We start from the raw sequence: 13871 nt of genomic DNA on the forward strand, positions 1-13871 counted from the left end.
ATCAGAAATCAGAAACATTATCAGACTTCTCAACAAGCAACTCCAGAAATTATAAAACAATGTAGGTAAATGTTTAAAATTCTGAAGAAAGTGATTTACATCTTAGAATTGTACACATACTCAATTTACAATAATAATATAGATTAGAATAGTACATTATAAGACATACCAAATCTCCAAAAATTATCAACTTCTGTAACCTCTTTGCAGTTCACAAAATGATGTAAAAAACATGAGTTAGGAAGTAGAACTAAATAGAAAAGACTACAAGAGTATTTCCAGGATTATGATGAAAGTTGATGCCAGGTAAAAGATGTCTCAAAATAAAATAAAAGTGACACTCATATTATGTTCTGAGTTTGTCAGTATTTCTCGGAAATGTGTACTTCTATTGGAATGTTCCAGATTAGTAACTGCATCGAAAACTAAGCAAGAAACTATGAGGCACTTCATAACTTCAGGAAACATAAAATTATAATAGCAAAATAAATGCAATTATAGTATACTACATTGGTCACTTGTAAATATATATATATATTTACAATGTTAAGATGGAACACGTGGCCGGGGGCAGTGGCTCACTTCTGTAATCCCAGAACTTTGGGAGAATATATAAAATATAAATAAGGGAGGAGTAAGTGAATTAACAAAGGCAAACAGCTTAAGACTGTGCTTATCTCACTGGATATTCTCAAGAAATAATAGACATTATAATTAATGAAATGATATGTAATAGGACAAATAATACCATATATTTTGTTCAGCCATGGTATGGAGATAATAGGCCTTCACATTAAAATAAGGGTGATGATTTATAAATTATATACAACCATTAAATTTTCAGTAAATGAAAAAAAAATTTTCAGTAAATGCCACCTATTTATTTGGAAGATGAAGTATTTGGATATTAACAGCAACAAAAAAGTGATCTTGAACCCATTGTTGAACTCAATGTTAACATGGAAGAAATCTTCAATTGAACTTCCTTAAGTAGAAACCTAAATTCTTTTTTAGGCTTAAAAAGATTCTTGATATATTGTGAAGATAATCATTTTATTTCAATGTTTGTTTTTCAAATAAAGTGAATGCACTTTTTTTCTGAGTCCATTGAAATTTTTGTTCTAGAAAAGATTTCATTAAATCTTGTCACTGACTACATAGTAACCATTTTGATTGTCAAAGGAATCCTTCACCATATATTTTCTACTGCCTTGCTTAATAATGCTGTTGTTTATTCCATGCATCTAGTTTGACATTCACTCATTTCAATGTACCCCAATGCTGGTGTTTATTCCATGCATCTAGTTTGACATTCACTCATTTCAATGGACCCCAGCAAAGTGATTCTATATTCCTTTAATAATCTGCTCTTAGAAACTAGTCATTTTCTTGACATTTAGAGTTCAAGGCTTTATTTACTTATTTCAGTACCAATGACTTATGAGGCAATCCCATAATCCTGACCACTGCTTTTTTAGCTTCTAGATCCTTAAAATTTTCAATACTCATTCTGTATTTCCTCTTTTTATAGTTAAACATCTTGGCCCCCACAAAGGTTTTTCCTCATGTATGCTCTATCCATTAATCTAGGTTGAGTAGAAACAGTTGTCATTGTAACCTACTCCTTTATTTGACACTATAACTGCTGGCAAGAGAGGGAAGGAAGTTCTTCCTTCTCCCGTCGATTTTACTTTGTGGAGGTGAGAGAATTTGGAGCGCAGCAGTGAGGTGGAGCATTCAGGTAAAAACAAGCGTAATAGGAAGCTCAAAGGATATATGCCAGGTTCTAGACAAGAGCCACTTAAAATTTTCCCTATAAATGATTTTGAACTCTGGTCATAAATAATTATTGGAAACTAAATTTCAAACAACACTCAAGTGTATACTCTGACCTTTATCTAATCGTTTGGGAAATCCTATCCTCTACCATAAATGTTAAGAACCTTTCAGTAAAAAGGTCAGGTGAGCTGAAGAGTCTTATGTAATCGATCCATAGGCATTGACATTTGTTTTTGAATTTGGACAAATGTCCGTGTTGGACTTTGGCTCACTGACATATTTGAGTAATCGATCCTTTCAACTAACTCACACTTGCTAAATATTTTTCCACTCCTAGAAGAGAAAACTTAGGCCACAGATGTGAATCTTCACTAAAGTGTACCTTTGATGTTGCTATCACAACTAACACAATATTTTTGTCCAGAATCCTAAAGTTTTAACCTTGCTAAGTAAATAAAAGCTTGATACATCAAAATCAATACATATTTATAGTGTACAGTGGAAAAACATGTTTTATCTAGAACTTGTCTATCTGTGCAAGAGTATAAATAAAATTCTGGAAGCAGGACACTGGGAATGATGGTGATATCTTGACACCCAAGGCATACATTCATATTTATGTTTGCTAAATGGGTTTACTTTTTACTTATGTAGCACTCAGAGACAGACAACTTTCTTAGGCAGTATGCTTTAGTTTATGGCACATGATCACACATTAAGACAGGTATCATGATGAATGTCACTTGTGTTGAAATAGTATACTTACAACAGACAGTAACCTTAAAAGATAAAAGATAGTGTTGATTTTAACATTTATTAAAGTTAAAAATATACTTTTTTTAAAGAACATAGATAAGGAAAAACATATTGCAATAGTAGCCTATGTAAGAAATGGTATGGAAAAATAAGCAGAAAATACATAATGAATGAGCACAAAGAGAAGGGCTTTGTAGTTAATGCGTCAGGTGTTATATCTTCCTAATTGCTTTTTAGTTTAGAATAGATTCTCTCACTATTTCCCCATAAATTGGTGTTTTAAACAATCAGATTAGTTCAGTGATAGAATATACTATATTCTGTATTGGTCTAATTGATTGTTAATGGTATCCTTTGTTCTTCTACGTTCTGTATTTCCTGCAAACAAGAATTAAGTCTAGACCAGGATTTTCTCCCGCTATTGACATGTTGTGGGGTGCCACCGTGTACATTGTAGGATGTTTAGCAGTACTCCTGGTTTCTATCCACCAGATGCCAGTAGTACTTCTTCAGATGTGACAACTAAAATCATTTTCAGACTTTGCAAAATGTCTCCTCAGGACAAAATCATCAGGGTTGAGAACCACTGACTGACAGACTAGACTCAGGTTAACATATTTTTAGTAAGAATAATATATAAAATCTCCATGGATTTCCTAATGCTTCATATCAAGAGAAACAATGCCATGTTGTTCAGCTATTACCCATGCTAAATATGATCACTTGGTTAAGGTATGGACTGCCAGCTTTCTCCAATATAATACTCACTTTGAAGTTAGTAAGTCATGTGTGGTATAACATTTTGATTCCTGAATTTATTGTTTTCTCCAGAAACCCTTTATCTAATGATTCTGGAACCTACTGATGATCTTTATGTAAATTTATTATAATTGGTAGTTGCAAAAGTTACTCTATCAATTTACACTTTTGAGCTACCATTTTCCTGTCCCTCCCAGTAGTTTTTCTTTGTTTTTTTTTTCTTTGTCTCTTTTTCTCTATTTAACATTATAGATTCATGAATTAATTTTCTTAGGGTGTTATAAATGAATATTGTCTAGTATGGTCTGAACACTTGTGTTCTGCCAAAATTCACATATTGAAAACTTAATCCTAGGGTGATAGTTTTAGAAGGTGGGATGTTTGGAAAGTGATTAGGTCACGAGAGCAGAGTTCTTAGGATTGGATGAGTATCCTTATGAAAGAGGCCCAAGGTGCTAGCTGGCTCCTTCCAACACGTGAAGACACATGGAGAATACATCTGTGAGTCAGAAATTAGACCTCTACTTGAGGCTAAATTTGCCAGTGCCTTGATCTTGGACTTCCTAGCCTCCAGACCTGTGAGAAATAAATTAGTGGTTTTGTTTTGTTTTATTTTGAGATGGAGTTTCGCTCTTGTTGTCCAGGCTGGAGTGCAATGGTGCAGTCTCAGCTCACCGCAACCTCCGCCTCCTGGGTTCAAGCGATTCTCCTGCCTCAGCCTCCCGAGTAGCTGGGACTATAGGCATGCACCACCACACCCGGCTAATTTTTGTTTGTTTGTTTGTTTGTTTGTTTTTTCAGTAGAGATCAGTTTCTCCATGTTGGTCAAGCTGGTCTCAAACTCCCAATGTCAGGTGATCCACCCACCTCGGCCTCCCAAAGTACTGGGATTACAGGCGTGAGCCACCGGGCCCGGCCAAATTAGTGTTGTTTTAAGCTACCTAGTCTATAGTATGATGTTATAGCAACCTGTATGGACTAAAGCATTTTCTCTTTTATTCAGATTCTCAAATTGTCCCAAAGCTAACCAGTTGGATCCCTTTTAGGCTAAAACTACTGTTCCTATAGTATTTTGCATAAATCAATGAGTGCTTAATTGCTTTCAGGCATGCATGTGTTCTGTGTTCATCCTGTACTTTCCTCGCAGCAGCACTGACATCAAGCATTTCTTCAAACAGCCCTGGCATATCTTACTGGAGATATTAGGATGCTGGCCATCTTCACTTTCCTTGCAGTGTAATTGCTTCCATATCCTTTCAGTGGACAGGGATAGAACCAGTCACATTTATATTGCTAATTCCTCATTTACATTTACCATTAAATGTTCATTGCTTACCTTTTTTTTTTAAACCTGGCTTATAATTTACACACAGTTTAATGCACGGATATTGAATGATAATGAATTTTTTTTTTTCTGTTTCTGTTTTGTTTTTGAGACAGGGTCTCATGTTTCTGCCCAGGCTGGAGTGCAGTGGCACAATTATGGCTCACTGCAGCTTCGACCTTCTGGGCTCAAGTGATCCTCTCATCTCAGCCTCCTGAGTAACTGAGACCAAAGGCACATGCCACCACGCCTGACTAAATTTTGTAAAGTTGGAGTCTCACCATGTTACCTAGGCTGCTTAAATTCCTGGGCTCAAGTGGTCCACTCGGTTGGGCCTACCAAATTTTGGGGATTATAGACTTGGGCGACCACACCCTGCCTTGAGTGATAATGGTTGATGTATCACAAAACGCACAAGCAACTGTATAATGCACTCCCTTACCAAGATATGGAAGATTTTTTCCATCTTGAAAAGTTCTTATGTCCCTTCCTGGTCAATTCCTTGCTTTAGAGATAGTATATATTAATGCTGTCAGTTCTAGAACTTTATAGGCCATAAATATTCTATTGTGTCGGCCTTGTTTTGTTCATCAAATTGTTTTTGGATTTATTCATAGTGTCTCATCTATTGGTAGTTTTTTATCTTTTATGTAGTAACAATAGACTACTACTCCTTTGTATGAATATACTGAGATTTATCTATTCTGTTCATAAACATTTGTTTCATTTTTTTCTAGACTTTGACTATAATGAATAAAGCTGCTAATATATTCTTATGTAACTATTATCTGTTTATTAATCATAGGAGTGGGACTTATTTCTTTAGGAATAGAATTACTGGTTCATAATGTAGCTGTAAATGTTTTATTTTTAGAAAACTGGCAAACAATTTTCTAATGTGATTGTCCCTTTTCTTAACAATTTTTTATCTGTATCTCTTTTAAACTGTTTCCTAATAATGTTAATGCATGTGGTTATTTGCTTTATTTTAAAATATATATAACATTCTCACAGACTTCTAACAGTATTATTATACGTAATAGCCCTTTTAAGTGATGCTTAAGGTTTCTGTGCAATCCTTTTTGCTCTGAACATCTATCCCACTGGATATTAAATTAGAGTTCTGTGTTCACAGGTCACTTAAACTATATTCTGTGGTTATGTAATCAAATTGATATATAGTTACTTCATGTGTATCCAATATTGGGGTTCCCCTTTTCCTTCTTTTCCTGATTTAATTCATGCTGGAGGATATTATTACAGTTTTTGCTTTTCCATGTGGTGATTTTATGCAAAATATTTGTATAAGCTGCAGAGCTTTGATTCTCATTTTGTTTTCTACTTCTAGTAGCTTTGTATAGATGTTGCATTCCTTTTTCTGTGACAAAGTGTGTATTGTTTTGCTCAGGCTATACTGCAGAATGGAAGGCTTAAACAGCAGACATTATTTTCTCACAGTTCTGGAGGATGGAAGTCCATGATCAAAGTGCTGGCAAGTTCAGTCTCTGGTGAGGTCTCTTTTCTGGGCTTGTAGATGGTTGCCTTCTCACTTGTGTCATTACATGGTCTTTCCTCTGTGCTCACTTGGAGAGAGGGATCTCTGGTACATCTTCCTTTTCTTATAAGGACATCAGTTCCATTGGATTAAGGCCCCACCCTAATGTATCCTCTTAATCTTTATTACCTATTTATAGAACCTATCTCCAAATATTATCACACTGGGGATAAGACTTCTAAAGACAAATATTGGGGGGTACACAATTCAGTCCATAACAGTTGGGTAGGATTTTCCAGGGATAGCAAGAATAAGAGGTAACAGGTGGGTTCTATGGGAGAAAGTGGAATAATAAAAATTACGAGTTGTGTACTTAATTTCTTAGTTGTAATATGCCCTCTTTTGTCGATACAGTGAAGGGACACTTTTTAAAAATCCAAGCTTTTGGGTAGGAGGATGAAAATCAATTTGTCTTATGATTCTTTGATAATTCCCTTAATATCAACTTCTTGCTTTCCTCCTGTCCCTTTCCAGGAAGTTTCTAAATGACAGCCCTGCTTTCCAAGATACCCCTTGCAATCTAGAGTGCTACCCATGACCTTGAAAAACCTGAAAACAATGACCCTTGTACTTTCTAATCTCCTTTATTACATTTCTGATAGTAGCTTGTGTTCTGGCTCTCCAGGTCTGAGATCTGTTCTCAGTTATTTCCCTGCTTAAGGTGATGTGGCTACCTTTACAGGACATCCACCATAGCGCATGTTTTCTCTTCTGCACCATCCCCATCTGACTCTGCTCCCACATGGTCTCCAGAGAAGTCTCTGCTGCCCTCAGACATTTATTGCACCTCTTACATATCCGTCAAGTTTCTATAAGTCTAAGCCTCTTTATTGTGTTGACAGGTTTGCAGCTACCAGTGATTTTATTTTTTTCTCATTTTTGATCTTTGGAGGTTGGCTTGAGAGAGTGAGATTTAGTCTGTGTTCACGTTCTAAACTATGCAATTTTCAAAGGATACTATTTTATAGCCATAGTCATCTATTTTTGTATTGATTACAAAAAATTACTTTAAGAGACTGATTTATTTGGATATTACAAAACAGACATCTAAATAAGTCTAGCAAATAAATTCAATGTAATTTAAGACTGAAAGATAAACACATTCAAATCTTGAGGGATACTGCAAAGCTTAAAAATAGGTATAACATCAATACATATGTAAGGAAATAGTTGTGTCTGGCATTAGACAATGGCTCTCATATCTCAATTACAGGGAGTGTAGTTGAACCCAGCTGCTACCTTCTGAATATTTGCAAATCAATTACTGGAACATTCACATTGGTTTTAGGTGACTCTTCACTGGCCTGCCAAGTGGCATATAGTGCATTCTTTTGGGAGTTTTCTCCATTGACTAGGTCCATTTAAAAAGTGATTGTCATCTTGGTACAACTTGAGGAAAAAGTAAATACACTATTTTGTATCTGAAGTGGCTGTTGATGTTTTCTTCTTTAGGAAATAAATTTATGACTTTAGACATTTTTGAGTTGAATTTGGAAGTTAATAAATATTTTCTCTAAATGATTTCAGTTCTCCCTCATAACACTAGGTTGTAGGAAAGAGTTTTCTTATGTTATAAAAAAGAAAAATTGAGGCAATCAGTCTAAAAGGAGAATTGGGACTCATCTGTAGGTTATTTTATTAAAAATCCTCTCTGCCTCACTGTGTTCACTACTATAAAATGTAAAACAGCTCTGGCAATAGCAGTAAGAGTTCAGAGCCAATGTACGGAGAAGTCCTTTTCATGTTATGTTATGGTAAGTCTAGTAACTGGATTCTTTTAGAGTGCTGTCTTAATTTTGCTTTGTGTGTAATCATTGTCATTGAAATACAGAAGGGCTTTTTCCTGGAGACTGTCATTATCTGCTTTCTCTTTCACTTAACAGTTATTTATGGAGCACACATACAGTGTGTGTCTGGTGCTGGGCTTATGAGCAAAATGACACAGTCCTGGTTTCATAAAGCTTACATTCCAGTTGTTGTTAATGATTACAATTGTCAGTATCTTTTCAACAATATCAAGCCATGGCAGTTGAAGAATGAGTAAATAGCTATGTTTAGAAAATGATCCAATGTTTTATCCTTCGGAATAATCACAATATTACAGTTTTTACAAGCAACTCAACTGATTCTGATATTCATACTTATTTTTCAGAACCAGTCCGTGTTTGTCCAGTTTCCTTTTATACCATGTTCTCCCCAAATCCTAACATTCCATAACTGCACAGACTCTTCTTGGTCTTGCACTGTTCAAACATTTTTCTTGCTTTCTGTGCTTGGTACACTCTGGGTCTGGCTGTGCTTTTCTGCCTTATTAAACTTCAATTTGCAGCTTAAATATCAATCATTTCCTCAAACAACCTTCTCCTTTTACCTGATTTATTGCAGGCCTTTCTATGACACTCAATTTTTTTTCCTTTGTAAAAAGATGCCCAATGTTACTCATATTCTATTTGTATTTTTAAAGTCATATATTCAGTTCCTCTTTGTTTCTTGATACATAAATAAGCTCAATAAATATTCATTCAGTAAGTGTAGTATTGGATATTTATGTACTTTTTCTCGACGTTTAATAAGAAATTGATGTCATTAAGTGAACAAATATTTTAGTGCTTACTGTACAAAGAATGTACTTTTACATTAAAATTTTCAGAAAACAGGTTTCAGTAATTTCTGCATTATCTGAAATTCATTTAATGCTAGAACACGCTATTGGTTAAAATTCACAGTTGAGTTAGAATTAAAATATTTTAGGAGTTTCTCTTCATCATCAGAAGCAAAGCAATGGAATTCTATTTCCATTTGATAAAATTATTGTAATTTTTATGATAAACTCTGAGAGCTTAAAATATTACCTGACTTTTTATTTATCATTTTAAGGTACATGCAATTAAATGCTTTTTAAGTTAGTGAATTTTCATATGATTCTTGGAAAAGAATGATGTGATAAGAAACAGTTTTACAAAATAAAAACTAAAACTTCTTATAATTTTATAAGACTTTTACTTTTTAATATATGTTATACACATATATTTATCAAATAATTTGTATGTTTTGATAAATCTGCCAATAGTAAAACATCAGAAGGCATTATTTAAGCTTTGTTGTTGCTACTGCTAAAATCATTACTTAAAAAAAATCTTAAGAGTTAAAATTTATTCATTCAGACCATGTATTACTTATTTAAAACCTTGGTTCTACTTGTTATCTGTTATTTAATGTTAAATCAATTTATTTAATTTTAACATTTAAAAGAATACTGCAAGTTCACAAAGACTTGACACAGCATATTTGTCCTTGCCCAAAAATACATTTGCTCTCCTTATATTAATTTTTCATTGCTAAGTTGCTGCCTTCTTGTGGCAACTTTATCATTTTTATTCTGATAAGTGAGGCAATGATAGAAACTTTAAGTATTAATCTTAACAATGAAAGTAATGGCAGGTACTAAATTAAATTGTGATATAATATTTTCACCTCATATTCCCAAACAAGCATCCCAAATGTCAAACTACATCATCTAAAATTTGACCCTTAGTTTATTATATATAATTGGTAAATGAGGTCTAGTGCCAAGAATGTAATTTTGGTTTCCTACATTTTGGAAGCCAGAACATCTCTTAGATTTGGGAACAGAACATTTTCTACAATAATGGTACAATTATATATATATGAAAAAGCAGTTTTTAGGCTTTTATATCATAATTTATTATGATACTATAAAGGATATTGTTGAAATGTAACATTTTTCTAAATGTTGACTAAGTTGTTGGGCTTTTAGAATTTAGCATGTCATAGCAACAGATTTTATAACAGTATAATAATTATAAAGTATGTTGCAATGAAGCCATTATAATCAACAATGTTAAAACAAGTAATTTAGAATTTTTATCCTTTTGAGATATTTTTAAAATGCCTCATACTCTAATCATCCTAAATAGTTTGCAAGGAATTTTGAGTAGTTGACCCTCTTCTGTCCCTACAATACCACAAATATGGTATTTGTGCTATTGTATTTATGGTATTATATGTATGGTATCATACTAATTTTACTAGTAAGAAAACTTAATAAGATAATAAATTTCTTGTCCAGAATTAGACAATGAGTAAATGGTGGGACCAGGATGAGATTCTAATAGATTTTCTACTGTAAAGAGTTACTCTGCTGTATAGATTTATGCAATAAATTACATTGATGTCTCGATATCCATATGCCTAAATATATGAGAGAAACATACATTTAAAAAATTTATATTACCACAGTGTTTCTCCTTTAAGTGTTACATTGCTAGACAAAGTGCTTTCTAATTACTTTGATTAATTTCACTTCTCACAAACCTTGTCAGATTAAATAAGTTGTCTACATTGGGGTAGATGAAGTTACCTGACTAAGCTTATCCAGAGAATAAATGGTGAAGTCACATTAGAATGCATAGCTCAGGACTATAATTTAGAGACAAAAAAGCTACTATTCACTTCTACTTACAATGTCCACAGAAAAATTATAGCAGACGAATATAATTTCATCTCATAATAATAAGCACTTAGATGTAATAAAACTGCAGAAAATAAATACATTTGATATTGCCTCTTTAAAACTTAAAGACATTAAAATAACAAAAACCAAAGGAGATATTAAAATTATCTTAAATCAGAATTTCTAGAGTAGGCTTCTGGTCATTGATAGTAATAAAAATCTCCTCATGTTGATATACCATGCAGCCTTGGTTGAGAACCATGGGAAGAGGGCAGAGGTTGACAAAACTTTAGTGTAAAGGACCACAAAGTAACTATTTTGGGCTTTACTACCTATATGGTCTCTCTCTCAACAGCTTAACTTACCCATTGTGTGTGAAGGCAGTTATAGGCAAAGTGTGAAGAAATGAGCGTGGCCATGTCCCAATACGATTTTATTTGTGGTATAGTTTGAATTTTATATAATTTAATGTTGAAAATGTTTTAATGTAAAATTTTAAAATATAAAATGATAAATTATATATATTTTTTCAATATAAAATTAAATTACTTTTTGCATTACTTTTTGGCAACTGCAAATGTTGCATAGATAGAGAGATAGAGAGATAGAGATAGAGAGATCCATATAGCATCTGTCTATTCCCTAGATAATTGAGTGAATGAATAAATGAAATATATCCAATCAAAATTGCCCATGAAATGATATTGTGTCTTCTCCACTGAGAATGTTTATCAGTTGAGAGTGGAGATTAATGTTCCCAAGAGCAGCAGTTCTTCACTTGACACATATATTTGAAAAATATGGTACATATGGCTGTAGAGATAGTTACATGAACCAAGAGGAAAAGTATATTTATCTACGGTTTGGCCTGATCTTAGGATTTTTGTATTTTTCTCATGTTTTCAAACAAATAGAATTTTCTTTTTAAAATTGTATCAGTGGACATATCCATGAACTTTTCTTAATGGGAGTCTGGTTGTGGGTGGCATTATCTTTTGGCAATTGCAAATGCTGCATGCTGCTTCTTTGTGTTTTCTGTGTGTAGCTAGAGAGATTGCAAGCTGAAAATACCTCGGAGTGGGACAAGAGGGAAATACTTGAAAGAGAAAAGCAGGGACTGGAGAGAGAAAATAGAAGGCTGAAGATCCAGGTGAAAGAAATGGAAGAGCTTTTGGATAAGAAAAATAGATTAAGTGCAAACTCTCAAAGTCCTGATTTCAAGATGTCACAAATTGATCTGCAAGAAAAAAACCAGGTATGGGTGCTCCTTGGAGCAAATTCTCACTGTCTAATCTCACTCTGATGCCTACGCAGAGTCTGTCTTCACTCGTACACGCCTCCACATTTGGATATTTCCTTTTGTGCCAGCTAATACCTGATACTCCTTGCTCTTTTGCCCACTAGGATGTAAAATAACGTTCATGCATCTGAAACAAAGTGTGTCAAATGTTAAAATATGACAAATCTTCAGACAGTTTCAAGATTTCCAAAAGGAAGAAGAAAAATGAAGTAAGAAATAGAACTTTCTGGTTTTTTGTTTCTTATTAAAGCTTTGTCTCAGTATTTTCTAAGCTAATGATCTTATTTCCAATAAAGATTTTTTCATTAATTCAAGCGACTATACAATAAGCATTTGCTGGTAGCTATGGTAAGTATCTGCATAAACATTTAAATTTAGCTGAAACTCACTGCTTTCTGGTTCTTTTTTGTCAGTTTCAGAACGATTATTTTTGAGCTAATGAAATGCATAATTTTTCAAATAATTTTTCCAGCCTGTGGTATAAATCTTAAAACCAGGATAACATTCAGAATTTAAATTTGGGAAATTTAATTTTGGATGTGTTTTATCCCCAAGCCAGTAGATATAGTTTATGCTATAGACGGACATTTTTTTGATAGTTTACAGATTTTTAAATGTGCTTTTAATGGCAGTCTTATAGTTTTAATGTGGGTTCGTGTCAATGTGCTGTAAATTATATTTACCTTGTTTCTATTTTTCAATTATATATAGCATCTTAATGCACAATTCTATTTCTCACTCAGTTTCTTTAACAGTTTTAAAAGGTGAATTTGATAAGTTCATAGTTTTGAGATATTTAAGTCATTCATACTCACATAAGCTCTAAAACCTAAATGGCCAGAAAAATTGAATTCCATATTATTTCATCATTCTTTCATGAATCTAGGGATTTATTGCAAATGCAAGATTAAATTGTATTAGTGTTTCATGACCTAGCAATGCAAATATCTAAAGTTAAATGTTATAGTCCGTGACCATAATTTTCTATTATATTGATTCATAAACTATCCATAATAATGTATTTGATTCTGACATATGTACACTGATAAATCTGTAGACATCTTATTTTGGAGATCTCTACTCTAAAAAGTGCAGAATTATCTCAATTATGGACTGTGGTTTGATTATAGAAATACTTTTTATTTGATTTATTCAAACAAGACAAACATTTATTCGTATTATTCTCTGTGTCAGTCACTGTTCTATATGCAGGTAATGAGAATATTAATCAATGAATCATTATCCCCACCCAGCATGGGCTTAGAGTCTATATAGGGAGTCAAACACACAAATTTTTATAAATAAAACATTATAGTGATTGCTAAGAATAAAGTGGAAGGGGACACAGATTAAGAAGCAATTGATTATATTTGATTTTGGCACCTTTCTAGTTGTATCAAAATGTATTAATATAAAGTATATCTTTCGGGAAAAATTGAGACCTGTTTGGAGCTGGCATTGGCGTAACCTGTCATCAGGGCACACCGAGTCCAGACCTGGTCTCTTTGACAATGTAGTTATTTGGGCTGGGACTAAGCAGAACTTGGAAACTGAGAGGATCCTCAAAGGTCTAAGTCAGTGGGTATGCTGATCACTTAGAAGACTGTAGGATTTTTTAAGTATATATCATTTTGATGGTGAGGGTGGTGGTTGGTGATTTTTATCCTCTTCATTACAAATTCAGACTATCTGCTGGAACTAAAATAATCACTTATTTTGGAACGGTAGCAAGCCAAAATTCTTAGTGCAACAGGAACTTCCCCAGAAGCTCAAAATGTCAAGATTATGATGTCCTCAAATGTCAAATGAATCAGAGCTGTGTACAGAACATGCCAAGGTTTAGGGAATAATGTAGATTTTATCATAACACAAAACCATACTGTAGTTTTAACATTATTTCAATAAGAATTAATTTATATGTATA

At 33.3% G+C, this 13871-nt stretch overlaps 1 protein-coding gene across 8 annotated transcripts in view; it reads left to right on the plus strand.

The window, feature by feature from the left end:
* CCDC102B (coiled-coil domain containing 102B) overlaps positions 1–13871 on the plus strand; it is a 342906-nt gene that overhangs the window by 170311 nt on the left and 158724 nt on the right. For all 8 annotated transcript variants that reach the window (XM_047437804.1, XM_017025973.2, NM_001093729.2 and 5 more), the window contains one exon: positions 11693–11902. In XM_047437804.1, the coding sequence (XP_047293760.1) occupies positions 11693–11902 (210 nt within the window). The remainder of the gene's footprint in view (positions 1–11692; positions 11903–13871) is intronic.

Source organism: Homo sapiens, chromosome 18 (genome assembly GCF_000001405.40).
Source record: "Homo sapiens chromosome 18, GRCh38.p14 Primary Assembly".
Lineage (NCBI taxonomy): Eukaryota > Metazoa > Chordata > Mammalia > Primates > Hominidae > Homo > Homo sapiens.